This window comes from Homo sapiens, chromosome X (genome assembly GCF_000001405.40).
Source record: "Homo sapiens chromosome X, GRCh38.p14 Primary Assembly".
NCBI lineage: Eukaryota > Metazoa > Chordata > Mammalia > Primates > Hominidae > Homo > Homo sapiens.
In genome coordinates this window covers 152,943,548-152,971,128 of record NC_000023.11, presented here as the reverse complement: position 1 = coordinate 152,971,128, position 27,581 = coordinate 152,943,548, and the positions used below count along the sequence as shown (strand labels likewise).

The window sequence follows — 27,581 nt, the reverse complement described above, 5'->3', positions numbered from 1 at the left end:
AAGCCTGGTTGCTACTGCCTTCAAGGGATATATTCTGCTCTGTGCTCAGACACCGTGATAAATTCCACTGGCTATGAGCATGCAAACACACATCTTCAGGCAGTTCTCATAATGTGGCCCAGAGGCTTGTTTCACTGAGCACCATGGCTATGCAGTCCTGATCTGAAGCTATGCGAGTGACAGTGAACAGAGAGCCCTGGACAAGAATCCAAAGACCTGGGGTGAGGTCCTGATTCTACCTGGGTTTCTCCAGGTCCCCTCCCTTTCTATATCTTTATTTCCTTGTTGCAAAATGGGGCTAACAACAGCGGCCGAGCGAGTATCCCAGGGTAGCTAGAGGGCTCGGCTCAGGTGCTGGACGGAAGGTGTGATTTGGAAGTGTCCTCATTGAGGGCCTTTGTCCATGCCACCTAAGATCTCAAAGTATCACAAGGCATAGGGACATGAGGACACAAGGCCCCCTGAACATAAGGAAGAGCCAAGAAAGATAGCTGTGTCTGGGGCTGAGACTCCAGGAGAGACCAGGGTGCATCTCTACTCCTTAATGAGTCTCTTGGCCACTTGTCCTTTGCAGTGCCAGCACCCACCTAGAAGAGCTTCTCATAGCATTTCCCACAGTGAATGGTGTCACGGTGAATGAAGATCTGATCCAGGAGATCGCCCATCGGTTTACTGCAAATCCCACACTGAAAAGAAAAGCAAGCTGGAGGTCAACACACAAAGCAAAGCAAGAGGAATGAGTGGAGTGGGAAGGGGATGCCTGAACAAGGTGGGCGAGCAGATGCTGTGAGCCCGTGGCACATCCTGGACCTCAGGACTTGCAAACATCACAAAATAATACAAAAAACATCACAAAATAATACAAAAAAAAGCCTTTTTTTTCAGTAGGGAGTAGTAAGCACAGCTAGCAGCTCAGCTACTTTCAAGGGCCAGTGGGCAAGCAAAGGGGAACCTGTTTGGCATGATTTGACCAGAAATGTGTTTCCCTGTGGTCAGCCGGTTCTCAGGAGAAGCTGCTAAGTGGGGCATGTTCTGCATTGCAGCACTTACTTAACCAGGAGCAAGCAAAGTTCAGGCCCTGTGGGGAGGACAGAAGCCTGCCTAACATTCTGTCAAGGCAAAGGGGAGGGTTGTTTTTCTCAGTGCACCCAGAGGTGACACCCTAAATGGATTGGAACCAACAACCTGGGGTTACAAAGTGCCACACACTGTGGAGAATGGGGACCCCAATGTCACTTAGAATAAAATCCAAACTCTGTGCCCGCCAAGGCCTACATGATCTAGCCCACTCTGTCACTCCTGGCATTCTCCCACGCAAGCTAGAACACTCTAGTGCTTCTGCCCCAGGGCTTTTGCACTTGCTGGCCCTCTGCCAGAAATAGTCTTTCCTGAAAAGACCTCTTTTGTCTTCCCTACAGTACTAAGCATGCAGAACCACCAACACTCATCTACTGTCTTAGACTTGGAAGCTCATTCAGCTCCCAGTTGTGCAAAGCCTCTGCGACTATGTGCAATTGTATATGGAGATCAAGCCTCCTCCACAGTCTCTGAACCCGTAAGACTCCCGCACTCTACAAAACGTTCTTAGCAGCACGTGATCAGGAGTTACCGCCTAGCTCAAGGTGTCTTCCACCTCTTTTTTACCTTAAAGCAATATTCATGGCAGCAGATACCAAGATGTTCTAGGGTAATCTTTGGACAGTCTCGGATCTCACGGTTGCAGTAAGTACAGATCCCTCCAGTTGTCCTGTGAGATGAAGAACAATAACCCGGTGGTCAGGCTGGTGTACAGACCTCTGATGTGACACAGCCAGACCTTCCAATTTGGTGCAGCCAGGCCCAGGTTTGCTGTCAGGATCCCCAGGATGCCACTGTTTTCTGTGGTGTGCAGCACAGCCCTGGGCCAGATCAGTTCTCAGCCTGCTGTAGACCTCTGCATTATTTCCAAAAACTAGTCATGCATCTTTTTCCAGCTCACAATGACATGTCTCCTGTAGATGTCCTGATATGATACTTATTCCAGACAGTTTGCCTCCCCCTGACCTTCTGCTTAGATTATCCGCTGGGGCCTGCTACCCTCTAGAGCAGGAAGACCAATGCCTTCTCCTACAGGAGACATGTCATTGTGTGCCCTGCCTGGCCCCGTCTTGATGGCCCTTCTCCTCACGCCTGGGCCAACTGAGCTCTGCCCCTGCCTATACTCCTGGACCCACCCTTCATGCTCTGTCTGTAGAGCCTACTCAGATCCGACACTGAAGTTCTAGATACTGACTCCTGGGTTGAGCATCTTTCCAGTTCCAGGATGCCTGTTTCTGAGAGTCACCTCTGCTTTTCTTCCTCAGACTGCACTTCCTCAAAGTAACTGCTTGATCTGATCCTACAAGCCAAAATTCAGGGTACTTTCTTCCAGAGATTTGGGTCTGCTTCTGACAGAAGCCCAAGGGGCGGGGGGACATTAACAATCTAGATCCACGTTAGCTCTGTCGGAGGACCCAGAAGTGTCACGGGCAGCTTGGGTGTGGCCCACCATCCTGCTGCTGGCCCAGGGTTCACTCTGGACAGCAGTGCTGCTTGAAATCCTTGCCCTCAGCGCAGCCCTGCTCCTCCTGCTTCTTTCACCACCAGCAGCACCAGCTCACAGCTGTTCTTTGTGTGCGTGCATGTGTGTCTGTGCATATGCATGTGTGCAAGTGACTGAGATTGTCCCTAGAGAGTCCCCTTCCTTCCTCCAAGCCTAGCAATGGATCAGTAATGACTGATTCTGGATTTAGTAGTTGTGCAATGGAAAGGGGGGTCCCTAGAGTATCTGGTTTGTCACTCCACTAGAATTGGAAGCCTCATTCCATTTGCTCCTATGTAAGTGGTTAACTCTCAGGTTTCTGACCAACCTGCCCTTCTCTGCTAAGACTTCATCTGCTGATGTGCCTCACCAAGTAATCTGTAGTTACTCAGAACCACCTGCTTCTTCAGCTATAGTGGAGGAGATTCCCTGGCCCCATATGCTTGTCTGCTCCTATATGTTTGCCTCTGGGGCCCGGTAGGATTCTCTTTATCTTAACCCTCTTACTTCCTTCCTTTTCCTCCCCAATGTAGCTTTGGTCTCTGAATGTCATCCACATGAATTAAGATCTGCCCATCAATGAGAAGCAAGATGGCAGAGTAGAAACATCCCTAACCTGGGAGTAGTCAGGGCCCTGGGGTTTAGTCCTGGGTCTGCCGTATTTGCTTACTGTGGACTGAAGGCTATTTATTCCATTTTCTTCACAGAAGCCTGAGTGAACTCAATCTCTGAGACTCTCTTCTCCCCATTCCAAGAATCTGAACATAAGATTTCTTTGTCATTAAGACTCTCTAGTGACTGTGCCATCATCTAGTGACAGCTTTCAAAACTGCTGAACGAGGTGTTCTCTGCCCCTGCTTTCAATTTGGTGGCTCCACAGCACTGGGCATTCTTGGCTTTGTGTGTCTTTCTGGCTTCTTGATGCCAGCAGCCCATTTTTCTTCCTTCTCTGCCCACTCCTCTCTTTTGTAGTCATTTTATTTTTACTTCTGGTTAGATTTGCAAGTTAATGAAGTGATTGATTAGGTTCTAATCTGAAGGGCCCCTCCTGCTGACACGAGTCCTCTGGGTTGTCAGATGCCACCACTTCCCTTCTCAGTCACCGCTGGTATCTACCCTCTAGTCTTAGCTCAATTCAAAGGCTTTAGTTGTCACAAGTGTGATATCCCAACAAGGGAAGCACCACCCTACGGTAGTGTCCTTCACCTTTCTGCAAATGGATTGGAGGCTGCAAAGCAGAAGACAAAAGCAAACAGACTCAGCAGGAACTCTCCCTTCCCTGATTCTCCTCTGTAGAAGTGCAAGCTCCGTGCTAAGAAAGTCAACATACCTCTCAGAGTATGGAGTGCTGCCACATGGAGGCTTCTTCTCCATGGCGAATGAGTCCTCAATGCTGCTGACGCTGCAGGGAGTTTGATAGGGGAGAGGAGGGCAGAGATGAGAGCCAAATCACTATCATAGTTAATTTTCTAATTAACCTTTGGCCACAAGCTGAGACATAACTACGATGCCAGTCGTCATTCATGACTTGGTGCCACAGGGCCCTTCTATGGGGGGGCAAAGGAGACCTTTCACAATGAGGGAGATGATCGGGGCTGGGTGGCTAGGATTCCTGAGGTTGTATATGCCAAGGGGACCCCACTGACCAGTGGGAAAACAGCAGAGCTTTCCTCCCCACCTATGATATAATGTGACAGTCACCAGGAGCCCACTCAGCAGAAATCAGATACTGGGAATGAGAAGAAAGAAGGGATCATTCTGGTATAATACCTGTGCTTGAGTTATGGGGTAGAATTAGGGGGTGCAGACGGGTTTGGAGTTTCTTTTTGGGGAGACAAAGGTGTTCCAGAATTGGATAATGATGTTTGCATAACTCTGTGAATGTACCAAAACCTCGGGACTGTACACTTTAAAGGGTGAATTATAACTCAATAAGCTGTTGAGAAAAACCACCCTAAGGGCCTACAGATGTGAAAGCAAAGCTCAGAGAGGTTGAACATCTTGTCCGAAGTGATCCTAACAGGGGGGCCTGAGCTGGGGCTTGAACTTGACCCCCACAGCCATGCTCATCATTCCACAGCACCAATAAAAGCCAGTCCAGAAGCCCCAGAGGCCCAATCCTGAAATAAGGCCAGGATGCTCCTCTCTGTTGCTAAAATCCTCCAGTGAGATGACATGTCATAAGAAACATTCTAAGGGACCTCACCTCAGTGTGGTAGGTAGCAATACACCGAGGTGACATGGAAGTACCCCTCCACATGGCATCACAAAGCAAGAAAATGAAGAGATGATCAATGAAAAGGGGAGGCCGAGGCAGGTGGATTGCTTGAGGTCAGGAATTCGAGACCAGCCTGGCCAACATGGTGAAACTTCATCTCTACTAAAATACAAAAACTAGCTGGGCATGGTGGTGGGCGCCTGTAATCCCAGCTACTAGGGAGGCTAAGGCAGGAGAATTGCCTGAACCCAGGAGGCAGAGGTTGTGGTGAGCTGAGATGGCGCCACTGCACTCCAGCCTGGGCAACAGAGCAAGACTCCATCTCAAAAAAAAATTAATTAAAATTAATTAACTAATTAATTAAAATTAAAAAGCAAAGCCACACATGTATCAGGAACTGCAGTCACATGTGTGTTCAAATGAGGCAGCCTGGCATGACAGAAAAGAACATGAGGGCAGAAGAGAAGAGCTCTGTGATCTGAAAAGAAATAGGATGAGCTAGTTGGTCCCTAGGGCTCTGCCAGCTCTGTCAAGAGGGGTGTTCTCAGCATTTTACAAAATAAAATAACAAAGACAAGCAGAACAGAATGGCAGTGAAAATGGTGTGCAGGATGAATTCACCGGAAGGGAGAACCCAAAGGTGCCCAGTTCAGTAGAAAATGCATCAATCCCATCAGAGGGCAACTACATCACTCATCCACTCGACAATTACCCCGAAGCTACTCTGAGCCAAGTCCTGGACAAGGAACTGGAAATGCAGGGATGAGAATATGGGAGCCGGCAGGAGAAGGCCGACATGGAAGGGTTTGGGACCCGCTCTTACTTGCTATAGCGTGCAGATACTGGCTTCCCAGAAGACACTTCACTAGCATTCACGTACTCCTTCACGAAGAGAATCCCTTTGCTGTAGAAGGAGCACAGAAGAAATCAGAGGTACACCAGAAGATTCCAGGGAACCAGGCCTGGCCCACAGGAGTGGTTCAGGGCTGGGGAGACCCAGCCTGGTTTGAAGGAAGTGAAAGAGCTCATGGGAAGGCCCAGGATAAAGGCACTGGCACTGCTGTGGACTCAGACTACAATCCCAGGCCATGAGCGTCTCTTGTTGTGTTTGGACTGAGGGCCCCAGAAAGGGGCTTCCTGCAACCAATGACAATGTGCTGTCCTCCTCCATGCAGACCTCGGTGACCCCATCTTCTCCCCAGGCTTCTATACTTCTACACTTCAGTCCTGTGGGCTTTCCACCCCTACTTTAGGGCTGCGTCGTCTTTCCCCTCTACCCACAACCAAGATATCCTCCAAGCCTTAATCCTACACTGTCAGTCTTTACCACTCAGCACTTCCCAGAAGGTACTCAGCTACTGTGCAATCTCCACCTCACATCTAACCTCTCCATTCTCACTCCTAGAGTCCAGAGGCCTAGAGGTTGCCTCATCCTGGACTGGCCTCTGCAGGACTGGAAACAAGGTCTGCATCATGCTGGGCTCAGGATGGCCCCAAATTTTCCCCCATTTCCATGCTGCACACTCCAGCCTGCTGACCTGATGTCTGCAGAGGCCCCCTTGGATATGCCCCCCTCCCGCCCCCAACACACACACCTCACTGAGCAGCCTTCCTGCAGTGACATCCCTTCCTGCACCCTGACAGGTGGCCAGGAATGCAGGTGAAGCAGTGGGCATGTGACAGAGACAGACAAACCTCATGTTGAAATGTGATTCCCAGTGTTGGAGGTGGGGCTTGGAGGGAGGTGACGGGATCATGGGGGGATCCCTCATGAACAGCTAGCACCATCCCCTTAGTGAAAAGTGAGTTCTCATTCAGTTAGTTCACACAAGATCTGGTTGTTTCAAAGTCCGGGCCCTCCCCTTCCTCACTCTTGTTCCTGCTCGTGCCATGTGATGGTCCTGCTCCCACTTCGGCTTCCACCATGATTATAAGCTTCCCGAGGCCTTTGCCAGAAGCCAAGCAGCTGCTGGTGCCATGCTTGTGCAGCCTGCCAAACTGTGAGCCAATTAAACCTCTTTCCTTTATAAATGTCCCAGCCTCAGGTATTCCTTTACAGTAACACAGGAATGCCCTCACAGGCCCGGCCTTCACGGACTGGAGCTGGCTTCCCAGGCATGGACCCATGAATGGCAGAGCCACATCCACTAGTGCACTAGGAAGTACCACTGCAGCCTCTTACAGAGATAGGAAAAAGGAGGTGTGGGAATGTCTAGGCCCGGTAGATGGGAGTTTATATTAGGGGACTAACACTGTCCTGTGTGGCCCCTTGGCTAATGGCCTGCTAGAAACTGGGGAAGGCACTAAATGGGAAGCAACATGGAACAAAAGCCAAGTCCTTTACCGCCAAGGAGGAAGTGGCGGAGGAACATCTCCCAGGTTGCTAGATAGCCCTTCTTACGTGGTAGAGCTGGAGTCCAATTCACTTGCGGGGGCTGGAATATAAATGTGAGGCTGCTCAGATGTGGCAGTGACAGTAACAGTGACCATGCAGCTCGAGGGGCTCCTCACCCTGAAAGAAATAAAGGGAGGGGTGGGCACGTCAACCTGGGAGCTGACACCTTCCAGGGTCAAACAGGCTTTTCTGAGCCTAACCCTTGAGCACTGCTCTTGAAGCTTCCTCCAAGACCAACAAATGGAACTTCTCACTTTACAGATAAGCAAACCCAGGCTAGGTGAGTTGAGACATGTCCCAGGTCACATCGTGAGTCAGTAGCAAGACCCCAATCTTCCAGTGTCCACTCAGTACTCCTGACTGCAGCCAAGGGCCTTGGCCTCTGTGATTCACTCAGTTAGAGTGGAATCATGGGGCTCCCGGGGATGTGACAGTCAGGAGGGTGCAGAAGGGGAAGACACAGCCCAGCTCACCTCCTCACTGGATGGGACGGTCCCTTACTAGGATCAGCTCCTTCTGCCACCCTGCAGGGAACTCTCTAGAGAACACAAGGCCAAGGGGCAGAGGACCAAATGAAATTAGGCATCATTGAGGAGGAAAGTCAGATGCACCTCATTCCCAGCAGAGGCGGGAAACTGACCGGTGTCGAAGTTTTTCTGAACCTCCACACTTCAGCTGCCAGATATGGCCCTTGGCCTGGAATCCAACCTCCTCGGCAGCCCAAAAGGGCTTTTCTCTGGCCAAGCCAATATCGGCTCTCACTCTGCCTGCCCCCAGGCTATGAGCCTCATTACCAAAGCTGCCGTAGCTGTCAACTGCAGTTCAGGGCACGATGTTGGGCAGCACCACTGACCACTTGTTTGCACCTTCCAACTTAAGTCTGCTCACCCTCCAAAGGCCTGAGGCCAGCACTATGGGTGCACACTGCCCTGGGCTGATTCTGGCTTTTCTCCAACATGCTGTGGCTCAGATCATACTCCAGATATGGCTGCCTCCATCTGGCCCAGGCTACTGGGTATTGTCCCCTTGCCAGAGAATCCAATGCCTAAGATTACAACTAGTTGAAGAGTGGGGAAAGGGAAGAACAATCATGGTCTAGCATCTGCCTAGCTCTCTCGCCTCATAGTCTCAAACTGTATCACGTGCCACTCAAGCCGTACAGACCAGCCTGCAGTTCCCCTGGACTTCCAGGCTCTCATATGCCTTTGCAGACAATATCACCTCCTCTGGGAAGCCCTTCCTGAGGGCCTGCCCTCCTACCTCACCTCAGTGTACCCAATCATCCTGTACCTGTTCCTGCTTCACCCTATGACAAAGAAATATACCATAGAGACTGGAGAAGGTGGACTGGATGGGAGAGGAGGCCCCACAAAAATCTGAAAAGATACACGGGGGATAAAATGCAGAGCCAACAAGTGAGAAAAGGATTGATTCTAAGAGGAAGGAAGGAAGACCTCCTACTGACTGAACAACTACCAGGTGTCTGGTATCCTGTGATCCATGTCAGCAGAATACTGAAGGGGACGGCGCAACTGAAGAGGCAAGGTAAAACAGAAATTCCCTGGAGCTACTTGGGAAGCTGAGGCAGGAAGATCACTTGAGGCCAGGAATTCAAAAACAACCTGGGTAACACAGTGAAACACCGCCTCTTAAAAAAAAGAAAAAATGCCCTGGGCATCCCCCCAGGACTGCAATGTGAGCAATAGGAGCCCTCCCAATAGCCTCCTCTCCCTCACCTACAAGACCCTACAGGGCCCAGCTCCTGCCCCCTGCTCACCTCACCCCGTACCCTCCAAGCACAGGGCTCATTGTTCAGGCCCTCCTCCCTATCTTCTTTGTCCACAATGCCTCTCCCCAGGTTCTTTGGAAGGCAGGCTCCTCCAGATGTTTCAGGTCTCAGCCGAACTGTCTCCTCCTCGATAGAAAAGCTTTCCCTAACCATCCTTGCTCTAACCCCTCTCCATCAGAGCACCTGGTTTCTTTCCTTCCTGGGCTTATCACAAATGGAGGGGCAGTATGGATGCCACAGCGATGAACAGTACAGGCTCTGATCTCTGTCTGGATTCTAATCTCGGTTAGGCCACTTCCTGGCTGCAAAACTGCCAGCAAATTACTTAACCTCCATCTGCCTCAGTTTCTCCATAATAAAAGCACCTCCTTGAGTTGGTGTGAGAATTAAATGAGTGAGTCCACATAAGGCATGCAGAACAGTGCCTGCACATTCTCAGCACACAGCAGGTGCTAATGGTTATTACGATCATGCTTATTCCTTAGTGGACTATGTGCTCTTTGAGGGCGGCTGGATGGGGCCTTAGCCATCGTGTTCACTGTGTACATGGCTGCTCACAGGAGGCTCTTAGTATGCAGCATCTCTAGCCGGCGGCCCATGGCTCCTGGTTATTCCCAAACTCATGGCCACTTTGGGAAAAAAAAATCTCTGGGGAACAAAGGGAGCTCTCAAAAGACACGTGCACCTTCTTTCACCATCATCAACTGCAGCTCCAGGCAGTGATAAAGCAAGGACCTCTGGCCTCACACAGAAAAGGACCAGAGGGAAACTGAGGCTGGCTGCTGGCATGCATCCCATGTGTTAGGTTTGAGAGACCAGAGCCAGGCTGAGGAATGCAAGAGGTCAGCAAAAATTTTCTTTGCTGAGTTCCTTGGCAAGATAAAGCTAGCACAGCCCTCTCCTCACCCTGTTCCTGAAGCCACCCTATCAAAGCAATGGATCATGGCAGGAGAGTGAAGGCAGAGCCAGAATACTTCATTGGCAGGGACAAGATGAGGAAAGACTGGAAGCTGGTCAAGGGAATGACCTGGAACTGGGAGACAGAGAGAGCACAGAGATCACAGCAAGGCAATGGGTCAAAATCAGTTAAGTGGACAGGACGATCGCCACAAAATACCAGAAATAAGGACATCTTGAAAATGCAGCCAGTCCTGCCTCGAACTGGAAGCCTCTACCACATGTCCTGCCAGTGCAAGAGCCAATAGGTGGGTTCCCAGTGACCAAAGCTGGATGTGAGAGCCAGAAAATTCTGTCACAGAGAGGGAGATGAAGTTCACCTGGCAGGAATGGGTAAAATGTCATCAAATCATGGCATTCTCTCCTGCCCTCTAGGCCCTGCCCATGTTGCAATGGCTGTGAAGCACTTCCTGAGACCACACTGTTTCCAGTTCAACAACTCCAGTTTTCCATGGATTTTTGGAAATGACAATTGACAGAATGTTTCAGGATGATATAAAATCTGATACTAGATTGCCTGTAAAAACATTTTCAAAACTCAATTATTTTCAAATGTGAAAAAATATGCTACAAGTCACCTAGGATTTCAAAATTGGGAAAGTTCTTACAGCTACCACAAACATCACAATTGGGTGTGGATCCACACTGATCTACAAAGGCCAGAAGCCAGGAAACTACCACTTTGGGAGACCTGAGCTGCTCACAGAAAAGCACAAGCATCTGGTGTTGTCTGTTCCCTAGTACCTGGCTGTTCCTTGGTTCTTGGTCTCTCTCAGAAAATTCAGAGCCCCTGTTTCCTCAGGCTACTGCTGCCAACTTCTTGCAATCAATGAGCAACCCTGAGTCAGCACTGTGGAGCTACATTACTGTCCAAATCCATGGCCATCCCAGTGCTGATGGCAGTGGAAGAGCTCATCCAACTGGTACAGTTGTTATTTCTGGCAGTGAATCACATCCACACCATGGCACACCTTGCTCAGAGAGTTTCCATCTCCATTAACAGAAAAAGCAACCTATATCCCTCCCCTGACCCAGGTTTCCAGGTTCGAACTGGCTGCCAGACAACCTGGTTCTCTGTGCATCCTTTCTGTGCCAGACTTAGTCTAACAGATTTGATGCTATGGCTCCAAGCTGAAACCCATGAATATCTACCCCTGAGATGCTGGTTTCTCTCCTTCCCTCTGGCTCCTAACCACACTCACCTGCAGAGGATAAACAGGCATGCCTAGTGTGTGGGGGTTTGTCCTGGGTTGCTGCCCTGGACAAAAACACTGGCTCTAGCAGGTAAGGTCCCAGTGCAGTTTGGCTCGTACCTGCTGGTGCAGCTCTCTCGTCTGACGAATTGCTCAGATCCGCTGGGGCTGTTCTGCTGTTCTGGGGTACTGGGATCTGCAGGTTGCTGAGTGGGTACAGCTGGGTCTCCTTGGCCACCTCTTGGGGCTCCAGGCCTGTCCTGCCAGGCCTCTCCGACCTTGGTGGCCACATCCTTCCCCTCAAAATCAGTCAACACGCTGAGGAAGAATAAGACCCTTATGAAGTGAGTGCCCTGAGACTAGACTTTGTTCTCCCATGGCAGGTAGGCTGGCTGTCATGTCTCGTGGACTTGGAGGGACTCATCTCCCCAAGAGTGGGGCAGACAGGAAGGAGGCACAATCCCCACCCCAAGGAGCAGTCAGTCTCCTCCTCAGTAGGACCCCCGCAGTGCTGCTCCTTTCTGACAAGGGCAAAGTCACCTGACGACTTCAATGAGGTGTTAAAAGACATCGTCTTCTGGCTGGAAACACACTGGTATTCTTGTCCCCATCCTCCCACTGCCATCTCTCCTTTCTCCAGTTCTTTCCCGCCTCCGGCCTCTCTAGGAAGACCTAAGCCATTCAGCCTTCTTCCCTGACCATGGTGCTCAAGACCTGTGCGCTGGCCAGGCTCATCAAATACCCGGCAGTCTAGGGAGGAGCTTCTCCCCCAAGCTACCCTGGAGGGCTCGGTAGGGGCAAGGGTAGGGGAGTGCGCACGTGTTGGTCACCAGATTCCCAAATCCGCTGTTGACCCCACAAAGGGGGGAAGGGCCAGGAGAATCCAAAATTTCTTAGGCGGGGCCATTATGAGAACCCTAGACCCATTTGTGATCCTCGAGCGCCATCTGGCGGCAGGAACCGGGACTGCTGCAGAAAAAGCCTCTCCACGGTCGATCTCGCCCAAAACAACCATTTTCTTTGTTGATCGTCTCATTTCCCGGCGAGCACCGCAGGCAGAGTCTGCGGCTGCAGGAAATGGCGGCACGCGCAGGCGTACTCACGCCGGCCGCACCCCGGCCTGTGCACGCACGATCTCAGCGCGCGTGCGTGCACCCGCCCACTTATCGTTGTGACCGCGTAGTTTTCACATGTGGAACCTTCTTGTCTTCTTTATTGGAAGTAGTCATAGCTATTCCTGGAAAGCAATAGCATTTTCATCCCCTGCCCCCCTTTTTTTTTTTTTGAGACGGAGTTTCGGTCTGTCGCCCAGGCTGGAGTGCAGTGGTGTGATCTCGACTCACTGCAACCTCCGCCTCCCGGGTTCCAGAGATTCTGGGACTACAGGCGCCCGCTGCCACGCGTGGCTAATTCTTTGTATTTTAGTAGAGACGGGGCTTCACCTTGTTGGCCAGGCTGGTTGTGAACTCCTGAACTCAGGCAATCCGCCCGCCTCGGCCTCTCAAACTGCTGGGATTACAGGCGTGAGCCACCGTGCCTGGCCATCCCTTTTTTTTTACAGATGAAAAAGTTGACATAAGGGTCCAATTTGCAACTAATAGTAGTCAAAATGGAACTTCCTTGTTCCTGCTGCAGTTCAACCTGATCAGGTGACTCCTGCTACATACACTTTTAGCGTCTCTAAACTTAGTTCCTCCCACCTAACCCCAGCTGCTTCTCTTCCCCTTCCAGCAGCCAAACTCCTTAGAAAGAGCTGTCTACGCTCACTCTTGTCACCTTTTCCTTCCTTTCTTACCATCAACATTCCATGGAACCTATTAATTGCTTCTGGAAAACTGAGTTCCTTCTGGGTTACACATTACGCCCGGGAGGCAGCAAATTCTTACAGAAATGGTGACATCTTACGAAAGATAACTTACAGTGGAACATTCCAAATGAACAACAACACACTGAAGTGCATTTTAAAAAAAAATTCTTTTGTGTTGTGGCTTGGCTCCCGGGGCAATGGTGCAGAGAGCCAGATCACCAGGGCCACTCAGGGAAAGGGAGCCCAGAAGCCTGGCATGCCAGCAAAAGGGTAAATATCTCTTCCCAGTCAGATTTCAGGCTTCTCTCTCTCTGTGCAAACTGATTGTAAAATCACTGTTTATCTCCTCTGTAAAATTTTAATTAATGCAAAAAGGAATTCTGAGGCTGTCTAGTCTTAAGCTGTAGTCAATCTGGTATATTTTGTGCTATAAAGTCGTTTTTCTGTGTCGAGGGGTACCTTAGGATAAAACATGGGCTTGGGCCCCCATAAGCTTGCTGCTCAAGATGGCCCAGCAAGCTGGTCAGTGACAAACTTTGCTGCAGGTCCCTGAAACCAACAAAAAACTGGACAAGGTCGCCATCCTGTTTTATGTCCTTGGGAGCTTGACCTTGTAACCATGTGGCAGTACTTTCTCCTTGTCTCTACCTTCCAGGGAACAGGAATTTTAGGGTTCATATCATAGTTAGTTCTAAAAATTATCTTGACTAGTTAAAAGCCTTTGCAAGCTCAAAATTAACTACTCTAGACTCCTTCTGGGCTCAGTAGTTAAGGTTTTGCCCTTTCACAGTGGCAGTCTGGGTTCGATTCCTGGCTTAGGAAATAAGTCCTTTCTGGTTTAATATCTGCATGACCTTGTCTATACCTTTCTCCTCCATGGACTGTCTTAAATTTTCCTTTGAGCACCTGGGAGTTCGAGACCAGCCTGGCCAACATGATGAAACCCCCTCTCTACTAACATACAAAAAAAAAAAAATAGCCAGACATGGTGGCACACGCCTGTAGTCCCAGCTGCTCCAGAGGCTGAGGCAGGAGAACTGCTTGAACTGGGGAGACAGAGGTTGCAGTGAGCCGAGATCATGCCACTGTCAGCCTAGGCGACAGAACAAGACTCCGTCTCAAAAAAAAAAAAAAAATTAACCTTGTAAAAAATTTTATGTATGATAATACTAAATTTAAAAGGGTATTATTAGGTTTTTCCATAAATTGAACATGGACATAAAAGCACAACAGGTTTTCTTAGAGCACTAATCTGCTCTTCAACAAAAATTGTAAAGGGTTATAAAAGGTTTATAAAATTCTTACCTTATGTTCAAACTGATTAAGATTGAATACATTTGTCTATAAGGTTTTATTTAAGAATTGGGTTTGACATCGATAATGCACTAATGCAACAGTGACATTTGGCTTATTTGGTATAAAAATCATGGGAGGCATTGTCAAAATAAAAATACTGTTTTGTTTTGTTTTGAGACTGAGTTTTGCCCTCGTTGCCCAGGCTGGAGTGCAATGGCATGATCTCTGCTCACTGCAACCTCCACCTCCTGGGTTCAGGCGATTCTCCAGTCTTAGCCTCCCGAGTAGCTGGGATTACAGGTGCATGCCACCATGCCTGGCTAATTTTTCTATTTTTAGTGGAGACAGGGTTTCACCATGTTGGCCAGGCTGCTCTTGAACTCCTGACCTCAGGTTATCCGCCTGCCTCGGCCTCCGAGAGTGCTGGGATTACAGGTGTAAGCCACCGCGCTTGGCCAATAAAAATAATGTTTAATCTTCAGGGTATATTTTTAGTGAATTATATTAATATATATTCCAAAATTATATGGGGTTTCTAAAATTCTAATATGTATATCAAGTGCAGATTATAAAAATTCAGTCATACAGGATTAATGAAAAGATCACTTAGTGAAGTGAGTAGACTCTTCGTCTAGCTCATTCTTTATTTTATTTAATTTAGGCAGTTTGTTTTATGGGGACCTCAGGTAAACAGCATACTTCAAACTCTGGGTATTATCCTACTGGTAGTCATAGTAGTCTCCCCAGTGCACTGTATTCTCTCAAAGGTTTCAAATGTTTGCATGCAGCCATCTCTGAAATGTCAAATGGTCTCTCTTCAACTGGAATAACAAAACTGATTGAAATGTATGATTATGAGGACATCATAACCTATGAATGACATGCTGAGACTGGAAACCTAAAATGATGGTAACTAGGTAACTAAAAGTGGTGCTAAGGCCCTAAGTTTTGGTCACACTCTCACCTAAGTGAGAACCTGGCCAATAAGGGGAAATATTTTTTTTTTTTTTTTTTAGGTGGAGTCTCGCTCTGTCACCAGGCTGGAGTGCAGTGGCGTGATCTTGGCTCACTGCAACCTCTGACTGCCAGGTTCAAGTGATTCTCTTGCCTCAGCCTCCCGAGTAGCTGGGATTACAGGCGCATGCCACCGCGCCCGGCTAATTTTTGTATTTTTAGTAGAGACAGGGTTTCACCATGTTGGCCATGATGGTCTCGATCTCCTGAGCTCGTGATCTGCCCGCCTCAGCCTCCCTAAGTGCTGGGATTACAGGCATGAGCCACCACGCCCAGCCAAGGGGAATTTTTTAAACAAAATTCTGGCAAGCCATTGTTGTGTACTGAGCTCATGCACTAGGACCCAACAGACCAAACCAAACAAAATGGAGTTGCTCATGCTAAATGTAACATAATCAAACTAAGACTTTAAGGAAACAAATAGTTATTAAAACAGACCAGGTTTTGTTTTTGTCCTGTAAACAGAACATTCTAGCATAAAGAGGTACCTTCTACTCAGTCCTTATTCTCTCCTTACAAAACCCACTGTCCTCCTGTTTCCCAGTGGGTTTCAAGACCATATAAGTACATTTACAAGGGTAATAGTGATATCAATAACTAAGGTTTTTGTCAATCTCTCAAAGTTGAGAAAATGACCAAAAAGGGGGAATTGTTAAAGCAAATTAAATACGGCCTGAGAAGGACTCCATAGTTCTATATTTGAGTCTTTGTCAATAAACTGTAACCTAGAGGCAGACAAAATTGAAAACCTAACTTAGGAGTGTGTACCTGTAACAATAGCTAACTCTTGGCCAATCCCAGCGGCCATACTTCAACCATTCATACACTGGTGAGTGTTCAAACTGTGTTCAAATAAGGCATACCCCCAACCTGTAACCAATCCAGCCGTTCTGTACCTCACTTCCAATTTCTGTACGTCATTTCCCCCCCTCCACCTTTTTTTTAATCTATAAATCTTCCACCATGTAGCTGCACTGGAGTCTCTGTGAATCTGCTGTGATTCTGGGGGCTGCCCGATTCACAAATAGTTCATTGCTCAATGAAACTCCTTTAAATTTAATCCGGCTGAGGTTTTTCTTTTATCACCATGTACCTGCGTCCTGCACCTCACCTCTTACATGTCTCATAGGTGTTACATTTAACATGCCCCCAAACATTTCTTCTACCTCGCTGGTTGAGAGTCTGAGTCAATGAGGTGATAACAGTTTTTTGAGATGAACAACACAGGGGGAGATACAGAATTAGTACATTAGTTAATTTGTTTTATTTGGTTGTTTTTGGTGAGAAGCTGTGTTGATAAAGATGGTTTGGGACATGCTGAGTTTTGGAAGGTGGCAGAAGTCCATAAGGCTACCTCACGGAACTACATATAGGTGAGCCTGCTGCTCCTACCAGTTGTTTCCCCTTGTTTCTCAAGAGTCTTAAGCCAGAAACCCAGAATGGATTATTGCCTGAAGGATGATCAAGTGTTCACAGCTGTCTGCTTTTTACCCTCTCCTTTGCCTTGACAGAATGTTAGGCAGGCTTCTGTCCTCCCCACAGGGCCTGAATTTTGCTTGCTCCTGGTTAAGTAAGTGCTGCAATGCAGAACATGCCCCACTTAGCAGCTTCTCCTGAGAACCGGCTGACCACAGGGAAACACATTTCTGGTCAAATCATGCCAAACAGGTTCCCCTTTGCTTGCCCACTGGCCCTTGAAAGTAGCTGAGCTGCTAGCTGTGCTTACTACTCCCTACTGAAAAAAAAAGGCTTTTTTTTTTTTATTATTTTGTGATGTTTTTTGTATTATTTTGTGATGTTTGCAAGTCCTGAGGTTGCAGCATTGTCCCTATTGCAATAGTCTTTTTAAATAAAGTATTGGTCGGGCACGGTGGCTCACACCTGTAATCCCAGCACTTTGAGAGGCCAAGGCGGGTGAATCACTTGGGGTCAGGAGTTCAAGACCAGCCTGGCCAGCATGGCGAAACCCCATCTCTATTAAAAATTGAAAAATTAGCTGGGCATGGTGGCGCACGCCTGTAATTCCAGCTACTCAGAAGGCTGAGGCGGGAGAATTGCTTAAACCCGGGAGGTGGTGGTTGCAGTGAGCTGAGATGGCACCTACACTCCAGCCTGGGTGACAGAGAAAGGCTCTGTCTCAAAAATAATAAAATAAAATAAAATAAAAGTCTCTATCTAAATCCATATTTGTTTTTTGTTTTTGAGACAGGGTCTCGCTCTGTCACCCAAGCTGGAGTGCAGTGGTGCAATAATAGTTCACTGCAGCCTCAACTCCTGGGCTCAAGCAATCCTCCACTACTTCAGCCTCCCAGGTAGCTGGGACTATAGGCACACACCACCATGCCTGGCTAATTTTTAAAATTTTTATAGATATAGGAGTCTCGCTATGTTACCCAGGCTGGTCTCGAACCCTTGGGCTCAAGTGATCTTCCTCCCTCAGCTTCTCAAGTGCTGGGATTACAGGTGTGAGCCATTGCACCCTGCCCAGAGACGGTATTTGCTTTTATTGGACACTTTTTATGGTTCTGTGATTCAGTTACTTTGATTCTGTTAAATGAGCTCTTCCCAGTTCTTTTCTGTTTGAGCAAGAATCTTCGCAGACAGAACTCTTCCTAGCTCTTTTTGAGTGGGGATTTAACCCCTGACTCTGTTGAGCAGGACTCTTCCTGGTCCTTTTCAATTTTAGCCAGAATCGTCCTGGATAGAAGTTTTCTTGGTTCCTTTTGAGTGGAGATTTACTCCAAATTCCTGGCTCTTTTGTGAGGCCTCATTGTTTCCCTTGACACCTTGTCTAGAGATTGCACAAGGAAAGCCCTTCAGCTCCTCAATGAGGACTGAAGAGAAACTTTGGCTCCCAGATGACGACTGTGTGCAGAACTTCCTAATGAGACTGTCCAGCCTGGCTCCTTTCTCTATTTGATCTGCCTCTTCCCACAGGTAACTCTCAATCTACTGGGTGCCCTTCCTCCTCCTCATCCTCCTCCTCCTCCCTTGCTGACTACATGCCCTGCCCCTATGGCACTCATTCTGTCCAGTATTTCCAAAACTGGCAAAAAAAAAAAAAAAAAGTAATCACGAAGGGTAATTTGGAACTTCAGTGACCTTATTAGGGAACCTGGGGTCTCCCCAAACCTGCTCATCTAAGATTCCCCCTTCTCATCTTCCTACCGCATCCCTCTTCCCTTCTTTTCACCACCTTGGACCTTCCCTTCAGCTCCCTGAATCTTTTCATCTGTCCCCTTCAATGCCTCTACCTCCTACATACCCCTATCTACTCTTCACCAGGCTTTCCCCTTCCCACTCAGCCCTCTCAACTGCCTATAGCCAGTAGAGCTTCAGGCCCCCTGCACCCATTGAGGGCTCGCCATTAGATCTCTATTTGTGTCTGTCTGTATGTTTAGTATACATGTATGTTGTATATGTGTAATAGTTCAGTACCTCCAGATGGCATTACCAAATTAATTTACAAAATCCCTTATCCTCTATTCTAATTGACTTAGAGATAAATAAGTACTTATATAAATTATTATAAAGCTCTCATAAATTAAGGAAACAACTTCTAATACTTTCAGTGTAAACAACAAAAAAGTATTCTTATAAAAACTAACCCAAATGCTTTTAAAACTCAAGTTCACAGAATTTATGTAAACTTTTGGCAAACAAAACTAGTTTAATATTGTTAGTTTAATAGACACCTATGTGTCTTTGAGTTATCAGCATTACATATAATACAACAGAATACAAGCATATATTTTTACTCTACTTGGGTATGTTCCTCCTAAACTTAAACAGGTTTACATGTTGAATAAGCTAGTATTATATCTACTACATGTTTAAGATTATAAAAATTTAAATTTGCTTTTAACCAAACTGAGTCATTATTCTGGCAAACTTTATTTCAACAGTAATTATGTTTTATAATATGTAAGCTTAAAGGCAGTTTCTAAAATCTTTTTGGTAACTTAAAACCTTAGACTTATGCTGAATTAAGTTAACTAAATTCATTAAATATCATTTATAAAGAAGATAAAATACTTAGTCACTAGACCTAAATTTAAGTTTATATACTTTTTGCTTTTTTTATGGTACAGTGTGACTACATATGGATCTGTTAAATGTGTTCATTTGTCCACATTGCAAAATGGTACTATAAAAAGTATATAACAACTATAAAAAGTTATGAGATGTATATTCATAAGCTTTACTAGTCTGCTACAAAATGCTGGTATATGATATTTCAAAATTACCTACCTCCTGTTTTCTCTGTGAAAGAGAAGTTATTAATGGTTAAAATTATAATAAGTAAATAAGTGTGTGTGTATATATATATATAAACTGCTAAAAGTAATAATGGCAAAAATGGCAAAGGGAAACAACTTTGTATGCAAATATGCTTTTCCTAAGGAAAAAGAGAATAGCTTTGTCCCAAATTAAAATGACAAATAATTTAAAAATGTGTGAGACAAAATGTAAACAAATATCTTTAAAATTAGAAAATGTTCACAGAAAAGGAATTTTATTTGTCATGGTTAAAACTTTTATTCAGTGTATTTATAAGATTTTCAAAAAAGAACTAATATCAAATATTATACTTGTATAAAATTAAAATGTTGGTTTCTCTGTTAAAATAACAAAATTTTCTTAGGCTAGGTGCAGTGGCTCACGCCTGTAATCCCAGCACTTTGGGAGGCTGAGGTGGGCAGTTCACCTGAGGTCAGGAGTTCGAGACCAGCCTGGCCAACATGGTGATCGCGCGACTGCACTCCAGCCTGGGCAACAGAGCAAGACTCCATCTCAAAAAAAAAAAAAAAAAATTCTTGATCATTGGTCTGTCCCTAATAAAAAGTTATAAATGGTCTGTTTTTCTTCTGAGTCATCTGCCTAAGAGGCAAAGATTTTATGTCTTATCAAAATACTGTAATGCCCTATCTGTATGTTCAGTTTATTATGTCCTTAGTTATTTTTTTAAAGTCTTTTCAATTTTAAAGGAACTGAAGATTCTTTACAACCATGTTACCTCATATGTTTACTTGAAAATTTTTACAACTCTGATTCACTAGCTAACCAAGTAGTATTTCTCGCTAACCCATAATGCTATTCAATCAAATGTTCGAGAACTCCTGACAACTCTTAACATTTGCCTTCCCACAATCAAAACTTAAATATATTTTATACCTAAAACTGGCTTTGGGATTTGCCAGGGACCTTCTGGAAAATCTCAAAGGATTAGTTCTTTCACCTTGTAACAAGAAAGGTGCAAAAACTAATTAGTCTTATTTAATATTGTATAAATTGCATTGGAAACATTGTCAAATCAAAAAAAAAATGCAGAACCTTCCCTAAATTAGTCTATAATGGGTAAAATGTCCTTAATATAAATATTTTAGAAATTCCATAGAATTCCTAGCGGGGTTTCAGTGTCCTCAGTGTACATGAGATATTGCTCTTTATCAAAGCCCCAGTGCTGCTTTGCCTTATATTAGATAAGAACAATACAAGGTTATCAATCATCATTTCAATTATGGGAAATTCACATTGCTCACTGATGGAATATTGTTAATATACAGATGTTTAGGACCTTTCCTGAACTGCCAATTTGATTTTATTCTGCACCCAAATCTCATGGTTATAAATATGTTCTTACTAGTTTATTTATGTTTTTCTCACTGGCTTGAAGCTTTCCCTTATATAAAAGGATCATTGCCACTAATGTTATTAAGCTTTTGTTAGAACAAGTATTCCCCACATGTGGAATTCTACCGCTTCTTTCAAATGACTAAGGAATCCATTTCCCCAGTAAAGTCATCCAAGAAATATAATGAGTTCTTCCTTTATCCCCCAAATTACATTGTCCTTATCATCCCCAGTCGTCTGAAATGATGGAAACAGTGGAGTATTAAAGTGAAAACTTGCCAACTGATGAAAAACTCAATCTCCCATGGCCTAAGGTTTTACCCTTAGCACTGACTGTCCTCTGGTCCTCTCGTGCTGGGTCATACGTACTCTCCCTCCATATGATATAATAACTGGCCCACCCATGAGATCTCCCTAGTGTCTAGACTCTCAAAGATTCTAATCTGGTCAATTCAGACATTTAAAAATAATGACAAGGATTTTTTTTAATTTTTCCATCTACTCTCCCTCGAAGTTCTGCTACTATCGTTGCCTACATCTCTGAAGGCTCTCACTCTGCCTGTCTCTGCCCTTCTTGGAACTCCAGGCTAGTTATCCACTAGGAGAGCACATCTAGTGGCTTTCTTCCTGGCGTGTGCCCAGACTAGGGCTGAGGGAATGCTTGCTACTTAGAACTATTAGCAGTAAGCAGCCCTTAAGCCCCTGGCCCACAGACTCTAAATGCTGCCCATCAGGTGCCATGACATAGTTGACCCTTCCTGATGAACCTAGCCTACTGAGATGCCATGCCAGTGACCAGACCCAAAGACTGCAAATAGAGAACCCCAGGGGGCCCGGAAAGGGGATTTGTCTACAGTCGCACCCCAGCATGCTACAGGATTTAGACCACTAAGAGGAACAGGAGAAGAGCACTTGCAGAGTGCTGCTGTCTGCCTCAGCAAAACAGCAGTGTGCCAGGGCAATCCAGCCAGGCCAGCCTAGGTAGGGCCTCCACCTGAAAGCCAGAGGCTTGCCTCAGGTGCCCTTGTCAGCTTGGGATCTCCACGGACCAGGCATTTGCTCAGTCAGTTGCAGGCAGTATAGAGGCAGGTTAGAGATACTTTGGCCACCACCTAAGCCAGGAGGGGTCACATACTCCACTCACTCGACCAGAAATGTGGCTTTCTAAATTGTCACTTCCCTCTCCGTCACTGCTCTCCCAAGTCTTACCTGTCATCCAATTTGGGATCTCTTCTACTTATTTTACAGTTCTGTCTCCATCTCCACAGCTAGTCCCCTAGTCCAGGCCCCATCATTTCTTACATGGAGGATGCTGTAAGCACTTCCTCTTCTCCCTGCTCCACTCTGCCCACTTCAGTCACTCTTCTCACTGCCACTGGAGATCCCATTGCAAAGCAATACTCTCGCCATATCACTCCCCTGCTTCAAACCTTCCTGGCTCCTCTTTGCCCTCGAAAGAAAATCTAAAGTCCTTGTTATGGCATAAAGTTCTGATCCTGCCCATCTGTGTCAGGGGTCCCCAAGACCATCCCTAGGCTTGGTGATTCACAAGAAGAACTCACAGGACACATCACATCATCACACTCAAGGCTATGGTTTATTATAGTGAAAAGATACGAAGCAAAATCAGCAAAGGGAAAAGCACACAAGGCAAATTTCTGAGGGAACCCGGGCACAAGCTTCCAGAGTCCTCTCCCAGTGGGTCACACAGGATTCACTCAGTTCCCCTCAGCAGTGAGTTGTGACAACAAGTGTGAAATGCTGTCGACCAGGGCAATTCATGAGAGACTCAGAGTCCAAGGATTTTATCGGGGACTGGTCACGTAGGCACCCTCTGCCCAGCCTTTACCTAACATGCACACGTTGCTTTCACCTATAGGAAACCTTCCCCATTATCTTGTAGCTGTAATTATCTGCTCACCCCTCCCACATCCATCACGTCACAGCCAGTTTCAGAGTGTGTACCCCATCAACTGCACCTGCTTATCCTCCGCTCCCTCCTCAATCCATTATAATCCAACTACAGCCTTTCCCACTGCCCCAACCTACTCCCCTCAAGGCAGTCATGAGTTCTACATAGCCAAATCTGATGGGCCTATTTCAGCATCTACAGAGCACTGGAAAGTTAGCTCAGCGTGGCTTGGTTTCCATGACGGTAGTCTTTCCTGATTCTTCCATTTATCCAAAATTTTCCTTCTCAATACCTCTCTGTAGCTCCTCTTCCTCCTTAAGACCTTTTGGAATTATTTTCCAAAATTATGGTCCATCTGCCTTTGCTTCTCTCATATTTTTACTTCTTTTCATTTTATATATTCAGCTAGGGTTTTAGGGGATCAATAATTAATATCCCCTCTTTTTTTCTTTTTGAGACAAAAGAAGAGCAGAAAATGGAGAGAAATGTCAGCTGATGAAGCAGCTTCCCTCAGCATCCCTGAACCACGTGGACTCACCCACCCAGCCAAGGGCCTGGCTGGACAACTGTCCCTGGAAGTCTGCAGAGAAAAGCCGAGAATACATGCTTTGTACACACTGCCTTCCAAAGGCATTCTCCAGGCAACCTCATGCATTCTCTTTAGTGACTTCCTATGAGCTGACAACTCCCAGCTCTCTAGCCCCAGGTCAGATCTTTGCTCAACTCCACATTTGTTTACTCAGTAGCCTACTGGACATCACTGGCTGGAGCCCCTACAGGCACTTCTCATTCGGCATGGCCCAGTGACCTTCTCATCTCTGTGCATCTCTCAGCGGGCCTGCCCCCAAACTCCTTACCCTCAGCTAGTTCCTGTCACCACCCATCCAATTGCCTAGCCCTGAAATCTGGGGAGCAACCTTGGCTACCACTTTTCCCTCACCGTTATCTTTATTTTTTTTATTTTTATTTTGGAGACAGGATCTTGTTTTGTTACCCAGGCTGGAGTACAGTGGCAGGAACATGGCTCCCTGTATCCTCGACGTGCAAGGCTCAAACAATCCTCCCACCTCAGCCTCCCAAGTAGCTGGTACTACAGGCATGTGCCACCACACCTGGCTAATGTTTTTAAATTTTTTGTAGAAATGGGGTCTTGCTGTGTTCCCCAGGCTAGTCTCAAACTCCTGGGCTCAAGCGATACTGCCACCTCGGCCTCCCAAAGTGCTGGGATGACAGGTGTGAGCCACCACGCCAAGCCCGCTTTTACCTTTAATAATTCAAAAATACTTGCAGCCTCATCACCTTGCCCCTGGTGTAAGCAAACAGTCTCCAATATGGCCTCCTGCCTTGTCTCGTCGTATACTCCCCTGGCCTGGTCCTCCACAGGGCAATGGAGGGATCTTCTTTGGACTCGAGTCTGGCTGTGGCACTCTCCTGCAGGAAAACCATCGGTGGCTCCCAAGGCCCTCAGGATGTGGGTCACACTCCTCAGCCTAGGAGCAGGTGCCTGCCCAGCCCCTACTTGGTGCTTCCTGCCAAGCCAGGCTGGATTAACCCTCCTTTGTGATGGCTACCTGACTGGATGTTCCCTATACACTTTGTGAGCCTCCACTCGGAATGCCTTCCCAAGCACGTCTGGCACATCTGGCAAAATCTCCCTCAGCCTTCCAAACCCAGCTCCAACATCACTCTCCCTGTAAAGAAAGCCTTTCCTGACACTCCCCCGCAAAACGAAAACAAAACCCAGAACCACTCGCCTCCTCCTTCATCCACAAGCCTCACTTTTTATACCCCTTCTGCATGGAACACTGACTAGTTCTAGAAGCCACACAATGTGACAGCAAGTCCAAAGTTGTTCACTCTGTTTTTGGACTGGGACCCTCCAGGGCCTGGAGCCAAGGAATCAAAGATGGGCTAGATATTCTTAGAAGGTAAAACTTGTTATCTAACAGTTGAGCTAGGCCCTAAAAATAACCTAACTATTAATAATTATGGAACCTCTGTGGTACAAGAAGCCCCAGAACAAAGAAGGCAGATGACTGTGTTTCTTTCATCCCTGCAAAAGGAACCCCAGGCTCCACCTGCTCCCCACAGCAGATGCCCTGCTGGATTCCACTAGCTCCTCTCTCGGGGCAATATGAGTCTTAGCTCTCTCCTTCTACATTTCTGTCTTGTGTAAGAAACTGTTCGCTTTGCACCCCTGGAATCACTGGCCTGTTGACGTGTCCAGAGCTGCAAGGACATGCAGTGTTTGCGCTGGCAGGCAAGATGCCTTCAAGAGAGCCTGACTTGAAACTCTCACACCAATGCCACATGGTCAGCTCCAGTAACAGGCACGTTTGTCCTCTTGCTCATGCACAGTGGCACACACCAACACATGGCCAGTCACATCCTGTGTCACTCTCTCATGCCTGCTCACACATGCTCCCTTTCTCTCCCTCTGGCCTCTCTCTCTCTGCTTCACTCTGTCACTTTTGCACTTTTACCCTCCTGTTTTTTTGCTCTTTCACACTCTGTCCTTCTCTGACAATGGCATTTTACCCACACAAATAGCCCTCACTCTGCCCAGGACCCCCACCTGTAGAGCACCTGTACTCTGAGAGACAGCCTTCCTTCCTGCCCCATGCATTGGGAATTAGCCAGGGCTTCTCACACCTGGGGACAGACACATCCTCCTATCACAGTCCCCTCCCAGCTCCTTGAGCCACAAGAAGCCTGATGACACTGCTCTAGGACCAGGGAATCACCATGACCCACTCACAGAACAGGAGCCTGGGTGTGCAATGTGTCGGGTATTGGCACAGGGTGTGGGGAAGTGGTTCCCATGTGGGTCGCAGACCTCAACAAAAACATGGGCTCCAGAGGCAGAGCCCACTGCAGCTCAGCCCTTACCTGCTGCCACAACTCTCTCGTCTGACAAGTTGCTCAGATCCGCTGGGGCTGCTCTGCCGCTCTGGGGTGCTGGGATCTGCAGGTTGCTGAGCGGGTACAGCTGGGTCTCCTTGGCCACCTCTTGGAGCTCCAGGCCTCTCCTGCCAGGCCTCTCCGACCCTGGTGGCCACATCCTTCCCCTCATAATCAGCCAAGGCCCTGAAGAAGAATAAGCACCCTTATGAAAAAAGTGCTCTGAAACTAACCCTGCCTCAGCCCCAGGACGCAAGCTGGCTGTCACCTCCTGTGGACTTGGAGGGACTCATATCCCTGAAAGCGGGGCAGAAAGGAGCCAGGCACAGCCCCAATTCCAGGGAGCAGACAGTCTCCTCCTTGGCAGGAGCCCAGCATCGCTGCTCCCTTCTCACTGAACAGGCCTCCATGTGTAATAGATGAAGCCGAAGCCTCCGATGTTTTTATTGTTGTTGTTTGGAGGCAGGGTCTCACTCTGTCGCCCAGGCTGGAGTGCAGTGGCATCATCTCGGCTCACTGCAACCTCTGCCTCCTGGGCTCAAGCCATCCTCCTGTCTCAGCCTTCTGAGTAGCAGAGACTACAGGTCTACACTACCACGCCCAGCTAATTTTTGTATTTTTTTTTTTTTCTGTAGAGACAAGGTTTCACCATGTTGCCCAGGCTGGTCTCAAGCGATCCTCCTGCCTTGGCCTCCCAAAGTGCAGGGATTACAGGCATGTGCCATTGCACCTGGCCCTCCAATTTTTGGCTTTTGCCACCCCTGAATCCAGCAAGAAGGACAGGGCTTCCCCCAGATGTCTCAGGCATCGAGCTCTTCAGGGGTCCTCCCTGGCCTCACCCCATGATTGCACTGCACCCTCCAATCTGGGTACCGTGGGAAAGAGGCTGCTAGCTGATCCTCCACTTCCACACCCCTCCCATCACCAGCCCCACACCGAGGTGCAAGGTACTGCTTCCAGAGTCTACTAGGCCAGGGGCAAACACCAAGTTGGGCTACTAAGAGAGTGAGCCCAGCATTTCAGAATGAAAATCTACTTCGCCATCACCTCGATCCTAGCTCACTCTGAATATAACCTTCCCAACATCACCAGCCTACCTTCAATAGCTGGTGGGGGCTACCCCGAGACAAGAACACGCTACAAACTACCCTGGGACTCTTTGTATATAGGAGTTAACTTTGTCTAGGCAGGCTTCCTGCCTTCAAGCTGGAATAACAAGGCCAACAGAGGCCACACTTTTTGGAAAGTATGCCCTGAAAGCAACATGATTCTTCAGCCTCAGGTGGAGGTCAAGGGAACTAAAATTCTCCAGCAGGCACAACAAGCTAATTGCCACCTCCAGCTGCACCAGGCAGAACTGCAGGCAAGTGAGTGTGACGCCACACAGTAACTGTGGGGAACCATCCCACTGGGCCTGTGCTTCTCTGTGCTGCTTCCACCCTTAGGGTCTGCTGCAGCCCATGCAGATCCAAAAGTGGTCTGCACAGGTAACACCAGTCCCAGGGTTGCCAGCAGGGTGCCCTGACACACCCATTCAATCTCTGTCAGTGACATGCTTGCTTGAGCCAAAGACAAACATACAAGGCCTGAAGAGCTTGTCTCCCTACTGTGGTAGCCCTGAGTTAGCTTTACTATGGATTTAATCAGAGTCCCGTCCTGTCCCACGTCCTCTGTAGAAATACACTAGTAGAGGTTGCCCTCACCAAGTCTGTGGATAGAGCCAGGATTATCCACAAAGAGAAATTTGGGCTCTATTGTGACACAGGGACAAATGGATGAACAAGGCTTCTTCTTTCCTAGGCCTGTGGCAGGGCCACTGTGATTTTAGGACATATGACCTATGTGGGTCATAAAAAGGAAATCTTAGGCAAACACTCACAGGAAGCTCTGCTGGACAATGTAACA

The 27,581-nt window shown here is 47.4% G+C and overlaps 1 protein-coding gene across 56 annotated transcripts in view, besides 2 other annotated features; it reads right to left on the bottom strand.

The window, feature by feature from the left end:
• The window catches only part of ZNF185 (zinc finger protein 185 with LIM domain), a 75,415-nt gene that overhangs the window by 2,353 nt on the left and 45,481 nt on the right, over positions 1 to 27,581 (bottom strand). For 33 of the 56 annotated variants that reach the window (XM_047442496.1, XM_011531194.2, XM_047442490.1 and 30 more), the window contains 7 exons: positions 25,665 to 25,862; positions 11,233 to 11,430; positions 7,180 to 7,290; positions 5,602 to 5,682; positions 3,891 to 3,962; positions 1,645 to 1,747; positions 588 to 686 (listed from right to left, as the gene is read on the bottom strand). In XM_047442496.1, the coding sequence (XP_047298452.1) occupies positions 588 to 686; positions 1,645 to 1,747; positions 3,891 to 3,962; positions 5,602 to 5,682; positions 7,180 to 7,290; positions 11,233 to 11,430; positions 25,665 to 25,862 (862 nt within the window). Of the gene's footprint in view, positions 1 to 587; positions 687 to 1,644; positions 1,748 to 3,890; positions 3,963 to 5,601; positions 5,683 to 7,179; positions 7,291 to 11,232; positions 11,431 to 24,074; positions 24,207 to 25,664; positions 25,863 to 27,581 lie in introns of all 56 variants that reach the window. The other 23 variants (XM_017029822.3, XM_017029821.2, XM_017029828.2 and 20 more) reach the window with 2 other exon arrangements.
• Positions 11,781 to 11,910: an enhancer, noted in NCBI's record as "active region_30032". NCBI's record gives its function as "activates an Ori minimal core promoter by ATAC-STARR-seq in GM12878 lymphoblastoid cells {active_cell/tissue: GM12878}" and the evidence as "EXISTENCE:reporter gene assay evidence [ECO:0000049][PMID:35858748]".
• Positions 11,921 to 11,970: an enhancer, noted in NCBI's record as "active region_30031". NCBI's record gives its function as "activates an Ori minimal core promoter by ATAC-STARR-seq in GM12878 lymphoblastoid cells {active_cell/tissue: GM12878}" and the evidence as "EXISTENCE:reporter gene assay evidence [ECO:0000049][PMID:35858748]".